Raw genomic sequence first — 20,264 nt, 5'->3', positions numbered from 1 at the left:
TTAAGTCTTTAATCCATCGTGAATTAATTTTTGTATAACATGTAAGGAAGGGATCAAGTTTCAGCTTTCTACATATGGCTAGCCAGTTTTCCCAGCACCATTTATTAAATAGGGAATCTTTTCCCCATTGCTTATTTTTGTCAGGTTTGTCAAAGATCAGATAGTTGTAGATATGCGGCATTATTTCTGAGGATTCTGTTCTGTTCCATTGGTCTATATCTCTGTGTTGGTACCAGTACCATGCTGTTTTGGTTACTGTAGCCTTGTAGTATAGTTTGAAGTCAGGTAGCGTGATGCCTCCAGCTTTGTTCTTTTGGCTTAGGATTGAGTTGGTGATGTGGGCTCTTTTTTGGTTCCATATGAACTTTAAAGTAGTTCTTTCCAATTCTGTGAAGAAAGTCATTGGTAGCTTGATGGGGATGGCATTGAATCTATAAATTACTTTGGGCAGTATGGCCATTTTCACGATATTGATTCTTCCTACCCATGAGCATGGAATGTTCTTCCATTTGTTTGTATCCTCTTTTAATTCATTGAGCAGTGGTTTGTATTTCTCCTTGAAGAGGTCCTTCACATCCCTTGTAAGTTGGATTCCTAGGTATTTTATTCTCTTTGAAGCAATTGTGAATGGGATTTCACTCATGATTTGGCTCTCTGTTTGTCTGTTATTGGTGTATAAGAACGCTTGTGATTTTTGCACATTGATTTTGTATCCTGAGACTTTGCTGAAGTTGCTTATCAGCTTGAGAAAATTTTGGGCTGAGACGATGGGGTTTTCTAGGTATACAATCATGTCATCTGCAAATAGGGACAATTTGACTTCCTCTTTTCCTAATTGAATACCCTTTATTTCCTTCTCCTGCCTGATTGCCCTGGCCAGAACTTCCAACACTATGTTGAATAGGAGTGGTGAGAGAGGGCATCCCTGTCTTGTGCCCGTTTTCTAAGGGAATGCTTCCAGTTTTTGCCCATTCAGTATGATATTGGCTGTGGGTTTGTCATAGATAGCTCTTATTATTTTGAGATACATCTCATCAATGCCTAATTTATTGAGAGTTTTTAGCATGAAGGGTTGTTGAATTTTGTCAAAGGCTTTTTCTACATCTATTGAGATAATCATGTGGTTTTTGTCTTTGGTTCTGTTTATATGTTGGATTACATTTATTGATTTGCATATATTGAACCAGACTTGCATCCCAGGGATGAAGTCCACTTGGTCATGGTGGATACGCCTTTTGATGTGCTGCTAGAATCGGTTTGCCAGTATTTTATTGAGGATTTTTGCGTCAATGTTCATCAAGGATATTGCTTTAAAATTCTCCTTTTTTGTTGTGTCTGTGCCAGGCTTTGGTATCAGGATGATGCTGGCCTCATAAAATGAGTTAGGAAGGATTCCCTCTTTTTCTATTGATTGGGATAGTTTCTGAAGTAATGGTACCAGTTCCTCCTTGTACCTCTGGTAGAATTCGGCTGTGAATCCATCTGGTCCTGGACTTTTTTTGGTTGGTAAGCTTTTAATTATTGCCTTAATTTCAGAGCCTGTTATTGGTCTATTCAGAGATTCAACTTCTTCCTGGTTCAGTCTTGGGAGGGTGTATGTGTCAAGGAATTTATCCATTTTTTCTAGATTTTCTACTTTATTTGCGTAGAGGTGTTTATAGTATTCTCTGATGGTAGTTTGTATTTCTGTGGGATCGGTGGTGACATCCCCTTTGTCATTTTTTTATTGCATCTATTTGATTCTTCTCTCTTTTCTTCTTTATTAGTCTTGCTAGCGGTCTATCAATTTTGTTGATCGTTTCATAAAACCAGCTCCCGGATTCATTGATTTTTTGAGGGGTTTTTTGTGTCTCTATTTCAAGAAGGGACAGTTATTTTTAAAGTTATTACAATGTCACTACCAGTATTGATTAACATATGCAAATTTCACTTATTAATATAGTTACAAAAACTTAAAACAAGGTATTAACAAATTAAATCCACCAGTATATAGAAATAATAATACAGTATGACCAACTAGTATTTTCTTAGAGGAATGCAAAGACAGTTTCTTTAGGAAATTTATCAATATAAGACACTATGAAATTAAAGAAAAAAATTTATTAAACCCTATAGTCATTTTAAATAAAAATTTCATGTAAAACAGTATAGGAGAAAACTCCTGTAATATAACCAAGACTATCTACCAAAGTCAATACTGACACATCAAATATATGTTAGTATTTTTCCTAAAATCAAAAAAGATTAGAATCTGCAACTCAAAAGTTTATGTCATATGCTGTAGAAAAGACTAAATGATCAACATTGAAATATATATCGATGAAGTTACTAAGCACAAAATATACTTCAAAACCATACAGACATTTACATCAATAAAGTCATATAAAGTGAAAAAAATCAGATTACTCCCAGATTTCTTCAAAGCAATCATCAGAAAGAAATTCTAATGATGTCTACAGATTTCCAAGGGAAATAAACTTTGACTCAAGACTTCCTCTAGCAAGATAGACATTGGCAATTTATGTAAATTTTTTAAAATTCCAGCTCCAAAGAGTCATTTTTACAAATAATCACACCTGCACACACGCCTGCATACACACATGCACATGCACACAAAGGAAAACAGATGTGCACTGGCACATAAACACACATGCAAAATGGACACACATGCAAACAACGTCATACACACCACAGGCATGTACACACACACATAGGCAGGCACACGCATTCACATCGTAATTTTTCTATATCTTTTTTCTTAACTGTAGCTGATCTCTCAGGAAAAAAGATCTCTTACAGTATAAAAAATATTTACTGGATTTCTGCAATTCCTTCAGTTTAAATTTAGTATCTCTTTTGTAAAGTCAAGTGAACTCAAGAAAACTTTTATTTGGTATATTTGACCTAAACTGACATGTATCTTGTACAGTATTTAGATTTCATGCAAAAAAATAAAAAATAAACTAGCATGTATCACGTGATCTCAATTTTCTAAATTATTTCTATCTAACTGCAGGGCGCAGTGGCTCATACCTGTAATCCCAGCACTTTGGGAGGCCGAGATGGGCAGATTGCTTGAGGTCAGGAGTTCAAGACCAGTCTGGGCAACATGGTAAAACCCTATCTCTAGAAAAATTACAAAAATCAGCCAGGCATGGTGGTGCACACCTGTAGTCCCAGCTACTCAGAAGGCTAAGGTGGGAGGATTGCTTGAGCCCAGGAAGTTGAGGCTGCAGTGAGCCGTGATCACGCCACTGCACCAGCCTGGGTGACAGAGTGAGATCTTGTCTCAAAAAGAAAAATAATAAATAAATAAATAATGTATATCTATCCTTTCTAAATATACCTGTTAAAATACTTCTAGAATAAAGTTCACCAAATATTAAGAACATTATTTGCAACTGAACAGTCTTTGAGTGATTCCATTTCCTTTCCTTTTCTTTACTATTTAAACTTCTTATAAAGTTTATATCCTTTTTACAAAACCAGTAAAATCCATTGTCTTGCAAAATTAAAAATAAGAATTGGGGAAATGCAAAGAAAAAGAGAAAAAATAGTATTATCATGATGAGTTTCTATTAAAATGTGTTCAGTGTGGTTGTTGCATGAGTCATAGAAAATACTATATGAAGTTTCCATTCTGTAAATTTGATTTCACAATGGAAATGCAAGCTGAGACAGCCATTCCAATTATTTAATGGGCATCCCTGTCTTCCTCTTATTCAATAATAAAAAGTAGAGCTGGAGAAGCCCTCCTCATCTCCCAGCAATGTTTCCTGTAGTATATTCTGCAGGATTCTTTTAGTTTAGTATTAAATGACTCCCCATGTGTTGGGGTTCATCTATTTTCTGTTGTAGAAACCAGCCATCCTCTTGCCTCTATAGGGTAATAAATGCACTAAAATGTTAGGAAAATTCATCTTTGTCTCATTATTGAGTTCTGATAGGGTCTTGCCTGAAGATCTTCCAGCCAAGCCACAATTCACTGGATTCTGATTAAACATCTGTAATACCATAAATTTAACTCATTGATGTTTGTTCCTTACCTCCCCTCCCCTCCCCTCCCCTCTCCTCCCCTCCCCTCCCCTCTCCTCCCCTTCACTTCCCTTTCCTTTCCTTTTGAGAAAGGGTCTAAATCTGTTGCCCAGGCTGGAGTGCAATGGTGCAATCATAGCTAACTGTAACCTCAAACTCCTGGACTCAAGCAATCCTACTGCCTTAGCCTCCCAAAGTGCTGCAATTACAGGCATGAGCCCCCCCATCCAGCTCTGATGTTTGTTTTTAATAACAAAAAGAAAATCTCTGAGAAACACATTGTAGTATTCAAATACCCTTGGCCAAACTGCCTTGCTAATCCTATGTAGAAGCTTGTGGAATTATAAATAGCCATTCAGGGAAGAATCATAAATGGATGCTAACTAAAGGGAGGAAATTACCAACTTTATAGAGGCAAAAAATGATAAAATGGAACCATAATGTGTACAGTTTGATGAGTTTTGACAAATTTATACACCTGTGCAGCCATCACTAAAATCAAGGCCTAAAACATTTCCATTACTCTAAAAATTCCCACCTGCCGCTTTGCAGTCAACAACTCCCCCAATCCCCAGCCCCACCTTGAGTCTCAGGCAGCCACTGATCTGCTTTCTGTCTCCAGATATTAGCTTTATTTTTTCTAGAATTTCACATCAGTGGAATCATACAGTATATATTCTTTTGTGTCTGGCTTCTCTAACAGAGCAGAACATATTTGATACTCATCCATTCTGTTGTATCAGAACATTGTTCCTTTTTATTACTGAGTCATATTCCATGACGTGGGTATACCATAAATCCTCACCTGTTGATGGACATTTGGGTTGTTTCCAGTCTGAATCTATTATGACTAAAGCTGCCAGGTACATTTGTGCACAAGTCTTCGTATCAGAAATGAAAGTCGTCCGCTCTCATTTATCTTGGGTAAATAACTAAGAGTAAATTCCTAGGTCATATGGGAAGTGCATATTTAACTTTATAAGAAACCACCAGATATTTTCCAAAGAGGCTATGCCATTTTACATTTCCCCAGTAATGTATGGAAATTCTAGTTGCTCTACATTCTTGGTACTGTTAGTATTTTTAATTTTAGCCATTCTAACGGGTGCATAGTAGTACATTTCACGGTAGTCTTAATTTGCATTTGGGGAGTAAACTTTGATGAAGAGCAGAATATTTGCATGATCTTAAAAGTATCTCACCACAGATGGCTTATTAGGTGCAGAGAAAAATAAGCCAGTTAACATCAGTGGGCTCAGAGCCTCCACAATCGATGGAAGTAATAAACAGGCCCAGAGAATGAATCGCCTCTGCTTTCAGAGTAGCTCTTTATCTCAGCATCACCTACCGCCCAGCCCTCCCCTCCTGAAATCTCTCTGACCCCAGCCTCTGAACGTTAACTCAAGCTTCCTCTTTTGCCTGCTTCTCTCTGACAAAACTAATATCTCTGGATCACTAAATAGCTGACAAACCCCATCTGGCCAAACCTGTCCTGTTACCTAAAAGTTCACATCTTACTCTAATTCATACATTCCCAGGGCTCTTGTCCTCAGCCACACTCCTTCTTGGATGCTATACTTACATTCTGGTTCTTGGCGTGATAAATTGTGTCTTCCCCTCACTTTGAGAAGTTATAAATCTTTTGTTAGCAACTTATAAATATATCATCCTTTTCATTGGTTCTCTCAAGCAACCTTTCTAATTCCCCAGATAGTCTCATTGCTTTTCTCAGAAGCATTTTGCAGCCAAGGCAAAGTTTTGGAAGCAAAGTGCCAAGTAGTCACTTTTAGTTCCATTCTAAGGTGAGCACATTGGAACTTTTTTTTAAATCACAAATATGGAAATGTGGAAGGATCTTCTTCCTTCAACTTCCACCTATGTCATTTCATATTACACAGGAAAGAAAGTATGACCAGGCACATCAATTACTTAATTGGCCTTATTTTTAGGGGTTTTTACACTAGCTTCCAAAAATCATATTGAGATCCAACCAAGCAAAACATACATGCCTCCATGCCACATGGCATTTAAATCTGATACTCTGGCTGCTACTCCTTATGTCCAGTCTTGAATCCATTTGTTTTTTTCGGTAATCTCTGATGAAAGCATAGATTATGAATCTTTGTAGTGGCAGTAGTCCAGGTTTGTTTGTCCAGTTTAAATTTCATGTTATCACTTTTTCATCGTTTTGATCCGACTTAGAATCACAATTGTAAAATCAGTCCATCACCCATGATGAACCACTGTCTTAACCAAATGTTTCTCTTAGATGAAAAGCCCTAAGAAACATTGAGAGTTTCTAAACCTCTAGTAGGCTATCAGCATGGGCCATACACCTGCTCTACCCAGCATTAGGATGTAATTTAAGAAAAAATTTTAAAGCAAAGCAAAAAAGATTTAAGAAAAGCATTTTCTCCAAGCGTACCCCTTCTGGTTTGTTTATGATGGTGCATGTAACAGGTTCCAAGAAAATTTGGATTGTGCAGTGTCAGTGAAATTACATGAGACACTATTGAAGCCCTTTATGTTTTATTATTTTAATTCCATCCAAAAATACCAATTAATGTGGACTTGAAGATTTTTCCTTTCATAATTATTCTTAGATAACATTTATTAAAGGGCTCAGGATAAGTGCTTTATGTGTAGTATATCTCATTGAATCTTCACAACAACAATATTCTGACTATTGTCTCCATTTTTCAGATGAGAAGACTGAGGCTCAGCAAAATTAAATAAATTGGCCTAGATCACACAGCAAATAACAGTACAAGTACTCAAACCAGCTTGGATTTATTTGTTATCTGTGCTCTAACCACTGTTCTATACTTCCTTATCTCTTTTTTTTAATCTCAACATCTTCATAGTCAATTGCCAGTGTCTTCGCAATCAATGGAATTGGATTTACCAGAGCCTACCTGCCAAGAACTATTCTATATAAAAATATCTCAAACTGCTCTCTCTTCCATAATATTTTCAAAATACTTTGCCAAGAAGTCTATAAATTAGCTAAGCAGCATTCTTAGGATTGAAGAGCACACATCTGCAGGCTTTGCTGATTCATATTCATTCCAGTTTTACAAGTGCTGCCTCTCTTGTGCTTTACTGATAGCTGTTTTACAAGATCTTCATTACTTCATAATTGTTCAGCCTTCTACATTAAGTTTTTCTTGTGAAGACAGATGGTCTGCATGCTTGTAAAATTGGAATAATAAAAGGAAATGAGAATGCTATACCAGAGCATCTTTCTTCCCCAGTACCAATAAATTACTAAATTAAATGTTCCTTTCTGGATCATTATCAGAGTACACCACCTCCATGAGCCAAGTTCTTATAAAATTCTGCATGGTGGTAGAAGCCAAGAACAAATAAAGAGACTGTTAATCCGTTTTATGAACTAGGAAATGTGTCTACAACAGAAATCATCTATGTCACCATTTCTAAAAGTAAGCTATTTACATCAGTCTGGGGCTTCCTTGGAGCAGGTGCCCACAGATCCTTTAAGCTAGAACCTTTCTGAGTTGGACAGAGGAGAGGAAAGAAGGAGACACATCTGATAATACAAAGGACAAGGAGTCAACTTCACTTTGTTGGATGCTGAACATTTTTGGATTTCTGTAAATATTATTGAGCTTTATTCTGGGATGTAGTTAAGTTTCCTCATAGCATTTTTATTCTTTTCCTAAATTAAACTTTGTTTGGCAAACCAGAGCAACATGTGATCTGAAGTTCATTTTGCCCTATTATGGGCAAAATGACCCAAAGCTCCATGATTTATGAGGTTTTCCAGCATGGCAGTTGGAAATAGGCACTATTGCCTGCCTAGCATGAGCCCTTACTATTGTTCCCTTTGGTCCTTTAGGATGGTTCTTTCCTCACAACCATGTGCTGATCAGCACTATGTTGTATACCCTAGGATAATTTCTACAGAGCTCCAGTTTTTTCTCTGTGCAATTCTCTCTATTCCAGTGCACTTCCCTGGGAACTCTACCCCTCTTAACCTCCCTGAACTCACAGCTCTGTCTCCTAAACTTAGGGAGACTGTGAGGCTCAGCATGGGTATATTTCTTCGTACTACAGCCTAGAAACTCTCCTAGGCAGTGAGCTGAGACAATTGTGAAGACAATCTCATTTGTTTCTCGTCCTTCAAGGATCACTCTCCATCACTGCCTGATGTTCATTGTCTTGATAATCACTGTTTTAGATATTTTGTCATGTTTATTTGTTGTTTCAGGCAGAAATGTGAACCTTGTCCTTTACTGCTACAGACTGAATATTTGTGTCCCCTAAAACTTATATGTTGAAATATTAACTCCCAAGGTGATGGTATTAGGAAGTAGGGCCACAGGGAGGTGATTAGTTCAGGAGAGTGGAGCCCTGGTCAATGGGATTTGTTCCAGGACACAGTAGGAAGTCACCATCTAGGAACCAGGAAGTGAGCCCTCACCAGACACTGAATCTGCTAGCACCTTGATCTGCTAGTGCCTTGATCTTGAACTTCCTAGCCTCCAGCACTGTGAGAAAAATAATTGCTGTTGTTTATAAACCACTCAGTCTATGGTATTTTGTTATAGCAGTCCAAACAAACCAAGATATCTACCTTGACTACAAGTGGACATTTCTTATTCTCTTTCTAAACTGTTATTACCCAAACAAACCTGAAGATTACCTGTGATTGGTGCTTTACTTACTCTTCATCTCTGTATAGAAAGTTATTTCCTATCATTATTTACAACTTCAACTCCTACCCTTTATATAAAATCCAACTAGAATACCACTTCCCCTATGAAGTCTTTCCTGCATCCCCCACCAGAAATAATCTCCCTTTTCTGAATTCTGTTGACAATGTTTAACTTCCAATGTGTCATATACTAAAATACATACATGTCTTATCTCCCCACTAAACAGTAATCTCCTTAAAAGCAGAACTCACATCCTATCCATTTCCACTTTCTCAACAATACCTACTGTTCTACCTTACTAACTGTCTATAGATGTTGAGTGAATACACAAATAAAATGGCAATAAATGTAGTCTCATCACAAAGCACTTAACTCAAATTCACCCAACATACTTGACAAAAAGTGGAGAGACAGATCATAAGAGACGTGGCAGGGAGGTCCCACCCATCATTCACACAGAGTAGATCCCTAGAAGTGAACAGAACATGAGATACATGGTTGTTCTATTTTTTCAGTCTGTCTCCATTTCTGCAAATCTCAGCAGGGATGACCTTAATGTTAAAAAGCATCAGTTTATAACATGGTCCCTAAATGTAAACCAAATACTTATTCACGTGCTTAACTAATGAAATAGTTGCCTGATTCAATGCTGGAAGAAAAAGGTATGCTATTGGATTGAAAGATGTATTGACTTTGAATATAAGACCTCTCTCAGGAATTCTCAAGAGTAATTTTTACCTCATATTATTTCACCTTAATCACTAAACTTAGAACTTAACATTGACATAATACGTGACTCTTTTTTGAATTTCTGAAAAATAGAACCTTGTGTTACCCATCTTTTATCCTCTGTGCCTGGAAGAACGTCTAGTATGTCATAGGTATTTAATCAGTGAGTGTGATATTGAGCTGAACGGAAGAGAACTACAGCCTACGCATTCACTCTAGTGCAGGTTCTGGTTGGTAGTTATGGCTCTTCCCACCAAGAATTCTGAGAACCTTTACCCCAAGTGAAACAAGTATTGATTAATTTTCAATGGAGTTAACAGGTTTCCACTACCGTTTTTCAGTATCAAACAGCTAGGTAGTATAGTTCAAATTCTCCTTCAGTTAATCTTTATTCTTTTTCTCCTGCCACTTCCTTCACACATTTCATTTCCCTAAGGGGGCCACTTCCAACTAACATCTATTCTTCTAAAAATTTGAACTGAACAGAGCCATCTGCAATCAATTTAGAGACCAAATTGGTGAGATAGTATAGGTTTGAATCTTTGTAATTAATATTATTGACACCATTCTGAGTTGTGTAACATTTAGATATTTTAAAAATTGCAAAAATCACTAATCTCCAGCCAACCATCAAAATACAAAAGTCTGGCTGTGGTAACAAATTACCACAAATGCAGTGGCTTTAAGCAGCAGATATTTATTCTCTCACAGCTCTGGAGACCAGAAGTCCAAAATCAATACCACTGGGCCAAAATTAAAATAACAGCAAATCTGTGCTCCTTCCGGAGGCGCTAGGGGAGAATCCAGTCCTTGCCTCTCCCAGCTTATGGTGGCTGCTGGCAGGCTTGGTTTATGGCTACATCACCTCAGTCTTCAAGGCTAGCATCTTCGCCTCTCTCCCTGCCTTGTCTTCACATCACCTTCTCATCTGTGTCTCTCTCTATGGCTCTGTAATCTCTCTCTCTGGCTCTGTTTTATAAGGACACATTCAACAGCATTTAGGACCCACCTGGTTAATCCAAGATAATCCCCCACCCCAAGATCCTTAAGTTAATCACAGCTGCAAAGACACTTTTTTCATGTAAGGCCACAGTTCTAGGCTCCAAGGGCTAGAATCTGATATCTTTGCCGGACATTATCCAGCCTACCACATCTTCTCTGCAGAAGTTTAAGTAAATTAAGAGTATTCTGGAGAGTCCAAGCTAACAATGTGTCCGTTAAATAGATCAAACTTGTGTTTTCTCCTGATCTTCAACAGATGGGAGAGGATTGAGGAGACTCATGTCCTTCAATATTCAGATACATCGCATCTCCCATAAGCAGTCTGGGCTCATGAGCCCATCTTGAGGCCACACAGCCTTTTGTCACATCCCTAACCAAACAAACTGATTTTATTTATGAGTAATATAAACTGTATTGAAGACAGAGGAGGTGAAGGGGAAGACGAGGGGTGGAAAAAGAGAATTTACAACATGCAGCAAGTTTTATTTAAAATAGCTCCCCATGAGACAATGCTTTCCTCCTCCTTCAGTTCTGCTGTAGTTACTCAACACTTCATCACCCTTCCCTCCTTTATTCCGAAATTCTCTCTTTTGTCATAAGCAACTCAGTTCTGGCACCAAGTCTGCAAATTTTAGTCAGCAAAAGCAAATCCCTGTAGTTACCCAAACCTCCTGTCTTCTCAACATTAATTTGACAAAAAGCTGCCAGTCCTTCAGCATGCTTTTGATGTCTTACACTCTTGTCAGAGTAGTTTATCAGCATATTCACTCAACCAACACAACTCTTCCTAGAAAGAAATCTCCTGCTAAGTAAACAAAAATTATAATAATAAAATCACAACAGCTATGAATCATTGTTTGTGCCTCTCTTCAAAGTCTTCAATATCTTGACTACTAGAGAGGTTAGGAAAAAGAAAGAAGTCCACCACTTCATCAAAAGACTCCAAACAAATGACAACATTTCACGAAAACTAATTCTTAGTTTTGTTCCTCTTAAAAAACTAACATTTTTTTTGTTATCACAGTCCCCAGCAAAAATCTGTGCAGTAAACACATTTATTTTTCTATCTAAGCTTTATGAAAATCAATAAAATTTAAACGAAAACCTTATAAAACATTTTTTCTGGACATTTTCTTTCATAAGCTAATGAATTTCCAAGTGTTTTTAAAAGTTCTCCAAATATTCCTGGCAGCTTTTTGGAAATAACAGAATCTTGGAATTATTCCCTGGATTCAGTTCTATATCTGGTTTATAAGTATCTGGAAAGATTAATATATTAAATCAACAGTTTAGCAGCTAGAAATCCATAAATGAAAGGTTTTGCCCTTCCCAATTGTACATGAGTCATTTCCCTCAGCTCTCTGATACATACACATGTTTTATAAGAATTAAATTAAATTAGCTGAAATACCAATATGTCTACCAGACACCAGAGAGGATTCAAAAATGAGAGCACCCTTGCCACCAAGTGGCATTCAGGATAGGAGAGTACAGATAATTAGATGTTTTGCCCAATGTTGACAAAAGCACAAACACATAAAATCATGAGTAACAAAGGATTACACTGGGAAACTGTTTTATCACCTGTTTCAAGACCAAATACTTTCCACATACGTTTGAAGACTCATGATTAGGTAGTTTAAGTATCCAGCCTAGCATCTTTTGGCCAGATTCCCCAAAACATCTATCTCAGAAATAACAACAGCAGTAGGTCATTTGTCGGTTTATAAGCCCATAGGTGAATTGTAAATAGTCCCCTGTTCCCACAATAAGACAATAAAAGAAAGAGCAGGAGGGAGAGGAAGAAAAAGAACAGGAAGGGGAGAAAGATCCAGAGGAGGAAAGGCTGGTAGGTATAAAAGGATAATCAACTCATAGAGAAAGAGAGCAGCTACAGAAGTTGTGTATATATTATACACTTCTAAGCCTAAATTCTGCACTATAAATAACCAGGTTCAGCTTGAATTCCTCCCTAGTCTACTCAGGAGAACAGATCAAGAGCCATCAACAAGTGGGGAGAAAGGCACCACCCTGCCACCAAGCTAGAGGTACACTGGAAATGAAGGCAAAGGCAGGCCCATGCTCCCCATAAGTTCATAATGTGCTGGAAAACAAAGCAGCTTCTGCATTTTCTGAAATAGACTAATCAATTGCTCTTGGTTTGGCCTCTTCAGAGAACTTAAGCTTTTCTGCGTCTCAGTTTCTCCCCTCTAAAATTGGGAAACTAAACTCACCAAGTCATAGTAAGAATTCCTCGTTGTTCCGTTTTATTGAATTTTTCTGGCAAATGGTGTGTAAGGTTACAAATAAAAGAAATCAAGACAATTATAAAATTGCAAGCAAAGGTACAGACTCCTTTACAAAATTGCATGAGTGGCTGAGTTTTCCTTAAGCTTTATCCTAAGTGTGCTGAGTCCATTCCAACAAGGGAGACCTTTCCAAACTGTAATCCTATGTCCTGGAGTCTCCAGTCTCCACATATGGTACAAATCTGGAGAGAATGAGGTCAGCATCCTCGGCACAAGCAGGAAGACTGTGAATATTTTTGACAACCTCAGAAATGAAATGCCTTTGGCTTTTCACTCAAGCATTCCAGAAGCTGCGTCTCTAAACAAGGACATGGCACTCTTCATGGCTGACAGCTTTCAGGAGGAGAATACTGTGAAAAGACTTTCTATTCTTACAGAGAAAAATCTGATGGCTCATGACAGAGGCTGCATCGAGGAGCAGAAGTGGTGCTTACAAGGCCCTCCTATTTGCTTGCCTGCAGTGAAGGGCATTGGCGAAGACAAAAGGTATTTTCCCTTCTGTAATACAGAGAAGCCCATCTGTTATCCTGCCACAGCGCAGTGCCGGGGAAATCCTTCATGAACAAGAACCCTCCTGCCAGAGTTCCCTGGAAACACTCCTCAGATGATCCCGCCCCCACACAGGAGCAACACACTTCTCCCCAGCCTGCCTTTTTGTATTTTTTTCTTTTTATTGCTCCATAGAGCTAAGCAGAGAACAGCGCCTGTGATTTAAAATGAGCAGGAGGGTCTACCTTCAAAGCTGTCAGAATTGTTATTATTATTACTATTTCAGCCCTAGTACATCACTGACTGCCTCAATTCAGATACACACACAACTAAGCATGGTGTCTCAGAGACAAGCTAATGGGAACTAGAAGCTGGCCAAAGCTTTCTGTTTCTATGCTTAAGCATGGATCCGCTAAAGATCACTTGAGAACATGATCTGAATAGAAACAGGGCTTCTAGGGCTGATGGGATGGGCTGCTGCCATAGCCATCTGTCCTGTCAATGGCCAGGTTTCACTGAACCAGAGCCAAAGTGACAGCTCTGGGCGCCCCAGGCAGGAAGGACTTTCCTCTCCCTCAAGCCTCAGAAAGGAGGAGGAAAGAGAGCCAGGCCCAACTGATGATGCAATGGCAAGCCCTTAAAAGGGAGAAATGGTAACTTTGTTTTCTGCTTAGGGCCACCCGAGGCACATTTGGCCTGTGCAGGCATAGGTACGGGCTCTTAGTCTCTCTCTGTAATGCTTCTACACTTATGCCTACAAAACACCCATAAGCTCCTTTACTCCTATGTTTTGGGGATACAGAAACCTCACCACTCCTTTCACTTGTAAAGCTCTACTCTCTTTGTGCTTTTCCTTCAGAGTCAATTCACATTTTCCTTGACCTGATTTGTGCTTTTTGGAATATTGGAGAGCTTTCTGAAATGAATTAGATAAGCACAGATTTGTCTCCAAAGATCAATCTGCTACAATGAGCTTCTGCCTCCTTAGCTGAGGCTAATATCTGACACTTCCCTGTAAAAGTGACAGTGCACTTAGTAATCTGTGGAATGCCTGCACACATGAATTGAAAAGATGCTGGCAGGTCCTTCCCTGACCTTCGTAAGTCATCAGCTTGTTCCGTGATTCATGGTATTGAATGGTGCTTTCTTCTTCCTTTACCTTGCTGTAAATGCTATTAATGATCCAGAGAAGTGAAAGCCCTAAATCTTTTTTCAACAGGAAAACAAGAATGGGACAGTAGCACCACCATTCTCAAGCCTGCAGAACTGCAGGAAAAGAGAAAGTGAAAGACAGCCTGGGTAGAAGGAAAAATGGCCTTTTTACTAACACTTAAAGAAAATGTTATCCTACGTTCATCTGAACTGGAGAAGGAAGTCACGTCACTCACTTTATAATTATCATACAAAACAGGAAGTAGAGTTTTATTCATTTCCTATGGAATCTAATCAATGCAAGCAACCCATCTGGATATTCCAGTAATAAAACCATATGAAAGATTTTCAACATTTTGGCTTCCAGCATTCTGGTTATCTACAAAGATCAGAATAGTTGTATAATGGACAAATCTTCACTTTATTTGATTCTGTGTAGATATAGTCTTTTATACTCCTGAAGGAAAATGCTCTGATAAAAGGATAGAATTCCTTCCTGCATTTATTCTTATTCAAAAACTATAATTTCAGTTCCACCACTGCAACTACAATATATTTTCATATGAGTAGCCAAGACAATCTCCAGCCCTTAGTAGTCTCTGGCATATGACACATAACCTTTTCAAAACTGAAAGAAAGTCCTTGAGTTGAGAAGTCTAAAGAACAGTGTTTCTGTCATGGTGTAGACCAGATTGAGAAAATTCCACCCAAGTGGCAGATCCTTGGAGGTATTTCTCCAAGTCTGTGGAGAAGCATAATTAATGACTGGCTCCTTAGAACACAAAAACAACCACAAAAGACCAAGTGATATGTCGGGGAGAAATGTCCCTTCTGAAATACATAATGAGTAGGAAGAAATGCCAGTGAAACATTTCCAATTCATTAAAATACAAATTTCCTAGTGCAAAGAAATACCTAATACAATAAAATTCAGAGGCTATTTTATATTCTCCCACATTGCTTGCTCTGAAGTGAAAAGAAATAATATTTTCCAAATTTTGACAAGCCTTTTAAATCTTCATTGAATTATCTGTATGCTCCAGGTGAGGAAATAATAAAATCATAGATATGACCCGGAAAAGGGATTTGTGGATCACTTAGCCCAACCTGCTCATTTTTAAAATGAGAAAGAGAGACCCAAAGAAGTGAGGAGACTTAACACAAACCATCAGAGTAGTTAATATCAGGTCCAAGACTGAAACCAGGCCTCCTGACCTAGCGTGCAGCTCTACCAACAGCTCCCTCAGTTCCATTCCAGGCTTCCTCTGAAAACCATCTTACCTCCATCTGCTGGCGCCTGCTCTGCCTCACACGTCAGGCTGGAGAATCAGCAGTGAGCAGAGGGATATCCTCCCCTTGGTCTACATAAGCTGTGTTTATCCTGCAAGGCCTATCTCAAGCCTTCCCTGCCTAGTACAGCCACAGCAGTCGCGCTCTCTCCTGAAGTACAGGTAATGATAGATCTCTTTCCTATTGAGCTCATATTCTGTACTGTCACGTCACTTCCCTGATATTGTCATCACCTAAATACCTACATAATTGTTACCAAAGACTTAACCTTTCTACTTTAACTCCTGTTTTCTTCCTGTCTTCCCTTCTAGACTATAAGCTCTTCTTGTTAAATAAAGAGAGTACTGTTATTTAATGCTTGTTAAGCTATTTCCCTTTTCATGGGTATACGCCTTATCTCTCCTAACCCCCAGTCAGATTTCTAGTTCCATGACTTCAGAGACTGTTTTCTGTCTCACAATTATTAGGGTACATGAGGGGGAGATGGAGTGAAAAGTCAGGGGGGACTGTCAGATGCATATTTTAATACCCTCAAATTTTTTGCAATAGTCCTGAGTTTTTCACCGGCTCTGTACGAATGCTACCAAATTCTACTCACATGTGCGGTGATAGAGAAGTGCCCTTCTCTCAGCCTGGATGCCATGGTGCATAGGTGGATTTTGCACACCAGGTGGCTCTGGAAAGGAACCATGGGCAGCTTCAGAAATGGATGAGTCAGCTCAGGCTACTGGATATCCTGCAGTAGCAGGGCTTCCCCTAGGATGAGCTGGCAACTCCATTCCTTAATCCTGGGAGAGGAGACAGCAGCCACTGGAGAAGGAAAGTAGAAGGGAAGGCTTGGGTGTAGGTCATATTCATCCATTTTCAAGCTGCCGATAAAGACATACCCAAGACTGGGCAACTTATAAAGAAAAGAGGTTTAATGGATTCACAATTCCACTTGGCTGGGGAGGCCTCACAATCATGGCAGAAGGTGAAAGGCACATCTTACATGGTGGCAAACAAGAGAGAATATGAGAGTCAAGTGAAAAGGGAAACCCCTCTAAAACAACCAGATCTCGTGAGACTTTTTCACTACCACAAGAACAATATGGGATTATCTACAATGATGATTTGTATGATTCAATTATCTCACACCAGGTCCCTCTCACAACATGGGAATTCTGGGAGCTACAATTCAAGATGAGATTTGGGTGGGCACACAGCCAAACCATATCAAGGTCATTCCTCACTCTCTCATCCCAGCTCTAGTGATTCTTCAGCAAATACAAGGAGACAATCTCCTGTAAGAGGAAAGTTCAATGAGGCTGTTCCTTGATATTTCAAGAGGAGTTTGTCTTCAAATACCACATGATCTTATTTATATGTAGAATCTGAAAAAGTCAAACTCATAGCCATAGAGAGTAGAAGGGTGGTTACCAGAGGCTGGTGCTTGAAGAGAAGGGAATGGGAAGATGTATTCAAAGGATACAAAGTTTCGATTAGGAGGAATAAGTTTGATTTTTTTTTAATGAACAGTACTTTCTTCCATCAAATAGAATAAGTGTTCCCAAGAGGTAAAAGTTTTTGAGATCCATTTCACAGCATTGTGACTATAGCTATGAATAACATACTGTGTATTTTTAAATTGCTAAGAGAGTAAATTTCAAATGTCTTACCATAAAAAATAAGTGAGGTGATGACTATGTTAATTAGCTTAACTTAATCATTTTGCATTGTATACATGTATCAAAACATCCCATTTTATACCACAAATATACATATAATTATTATTTATCTATTAAAAATAATAAAAATAATTGATCTTCAAAACTACTCATAATGTTATTGTCTTACAGACTATTTTGGTTCAAAAGGGTGAGAAAAAGGATAATACCTATATCTGCCATCACATATTTGAGCTTTCCATGTTACACACTTTACTAAATACTTTAGATATTTTGCCTCATTTAGTAAATCCACCAGCTTTATGAGTTGGGCATCATTTTCTCTACTGTACACCAGGGAAGCTAAGGCACAAAGACATTAGGTAACTTGTCTGAGACTACACAGCTCGAAAATGGTAAAGTAAGAATTTCAACTCTGTCTTTCTAACTCCAAAATAACAAGTTTTAGCACTATACTATATCCCTTGCAATTCCCCTTAAAATAAATGTCTGAGAGTAAAATTTTAAGAACAAAGGCTTAAGAGCAAACAATAAAACAGTATTTTTAAAAGCTAACATTAAGAAAGGCAAACAGGAAGGTAAAATACTTTTAGTTGTGAAATGCGAAAATTCCTGCATACACAATATGGGAAAGTATTCAAAAAAAGTATAAGTCATTCCCTTAACTTCTTTATAAACAGTACTTTAATACTGTAAGGCAGAGCCTTTTAATACTAGAAATAATCAAAATTATTTATTTATTTATTTATTCATTATTTTAGAGATGGGGGGGTCTCACTATGTTGTCCAGGCTGACCTCAAACCTGGGCTCGAGCAATCCCCTTGCCTTGGCCTCCAGAGTAGCTAGGACTACAAGTGCGCACCACTGCACCTGCCTTCAAAATTACTTTTAAAATTAAAATGTAATTGCATTGTATTTAGGTAGTGTCTCATATTTGGAACTCAAAATCAGTACCAAATAACTAATTATCATGATACATAATCAAATCAATAAGTATTTATTGAGTATACACTATAAACAGATAAATTAAGACACATATAACCTTAAAGGATTTAAGAGCACATTGGGGAGATAAGCCATAAACACAGAGATATTGGAATAAAATGCTTAAGTTACTATTCAAACAACAGCAAAACCTTCACCTAAGACAAAGTTTTGCTGCTAATAAATTGTACAGAAAATAATCACTGATGAAATTCAGAATAAGAATAAATTATTTGGGCTAGACTTTACCTTGAAGTTGAAAACTGATCTGGATTTTGAAAAATGGGACGGCAGAGAGACATAGGGAAGGCATCTTAAAATGTTGATGTATTTGACCAAAGGCTTAAGGGTTGGAAAACACCAGGCATATTTTGGGAACAAACTGTTTTGGGGAGACTCACCTAGAAAGCTAGGTTGCGGCTAAATCTTGGCTGGCCAACAATCCAGAAAGAATACATTATAGGATTGTTGTAGGCATTGAATGAATTAATACTATAAAGTGCTCCAAACAGAATCTAGCTCTAGGGTTGAATAAATATGAGTTGTTTTTATAGAATACAGGTTAATTGGCTTAGACAATCCTGAGGGCAAAGCCAAGCTCTGCCACCAAGTAATCTTGAACACATTACTCAACTTACCTTAATTGCTCTATCTGTAAAATGGGATGAGTCCACTCCCTAGTTCATAGGTGTATTAGTATCTATTACACATAGTTGTAATAGATAGATATCTATTGCTATATATCAAATTATCCAAAATGCCAAAATTTACAATCTATTCTTGAAAGTAGTCATCTCACATATTAGTAATGAGGTTTTTGGAAGCAAGTAATAGAAAATCAATAAAAATTGGTTTAACAGAAAGGAGACTGATTTACTTACACAACTGGAAGACAAATGGTAAAATGCAGTTGAGTATTAATACAGTATTGCCAACTTCACTTTTTTACAAATCTACTTCTGTGAGGTATACTTTTCATTCAATAAATGCACCCACTCTAAAGGTTAAAAAACAGTGTCATCCCAACACTTCTGATGTATTCTATTCATCACATACAAGTCAGTGAGTCAAAACCACACTCAAGGGGATGGAATTATACAAGGGCATAAATACCAGGAAAGTGGGATTACTGGGAGGCATCTCACAGTTGGCCTACTACAACAGGGTTGTTGTATTGGATAAATGAGATTATCCCCATAGATAACTATAGGTGGTTATCCATGCATATAGTAAGTATTCTATAAATTTTAGCCTTTTATTAAATCATTTGTATGTTATTCCATAAACGCTAAAATGCTTGTGAGAATTTTAGAGCTAGAGAGGGTTTTAAATTGTGGCTTCGGGAAGATTAATCTTATATGAAGAACAGAATAGATTATAATGGGAGAACTTGGAGGCAGAGACACCCGGCATAAGGCCATCAGTCTTTGAATAAAAGTCTTAGCAGATATATACAAGGCATAGGAAAGGCAGTATTGCATAGTAGGTAACAGCATGGATTCTAGAGTCAGACCATTTGGCTTCAAACCCTAGTTCTGTCTTTGCTAAATTCCTTCATCTCTAAAACGAGGAGAGTTGTAGCACTTATCTCGAAGTGTTGTCATGGCAATTAAATAATACACTGTTGGAAGGAGTGAACCCTTATACCAGTGCCTGGCACATAGTAACTCTCAATCAAGCTAGGTACTATTCATAGACAGGAAATAATACAGCAATGTTTCCGAGGAAGAATATTTTAGATACAGAATGAAATATTTGTTGACTAAAGTGTCAACAAATTTATCAATTTAAAAATGGTTATGTCTAGTGAGATATTTGGGTGAAAAAGAAGGAGGAATCAAGGACGGCTTTAACATGGTGCCACCGACAAATAAAATTGTTATAACAGAATAGAGCAGAAGGTGCAAATATAGGGAGGAAGATGAAA

The 20,264-nt window shown here is 37.9% G+C and overlaps 1 long non-coding RNA gene across 1 annotated transcript in view; it reads right to left on the bottom strand.

The window, feature by feature from the left end:
• The window catches only part of LOC124901047 (uncharacterized), a 192,316-nt gene extending 177,552 nt beyond the window's left edge, over positions 1 to 14,764 (bottom strand). The window contains exon 1 of the long non-coding RNA XR_007058906.1: positions 12,680 to 14,764. This is a non-coding gene — a long non-coding RNA (uncharacterized LOC124901047). The remainder of the gene's footprint in view (positions 1 to 12,679) is intronic.
• Between the last annotated feature and the right edge of the window lie 5,500 nt (positions 14,765 to 20,264).

This window comes from Homo sapiens, chromosome 5 (assembly GCF_000001405.40).
Source record: "Homo sapiens chromosome 5, GRCh38.p14 Primary Assembly".
NCBI classification, from domain to species: Eukaryota; Metazoa; Chordata; class Mammalia; order Primates; family Hominidae; genus Homo; species Homo sapiens.
This window is presented reverse-complemented; position numbering and strand designations above follow the sequence as displayed.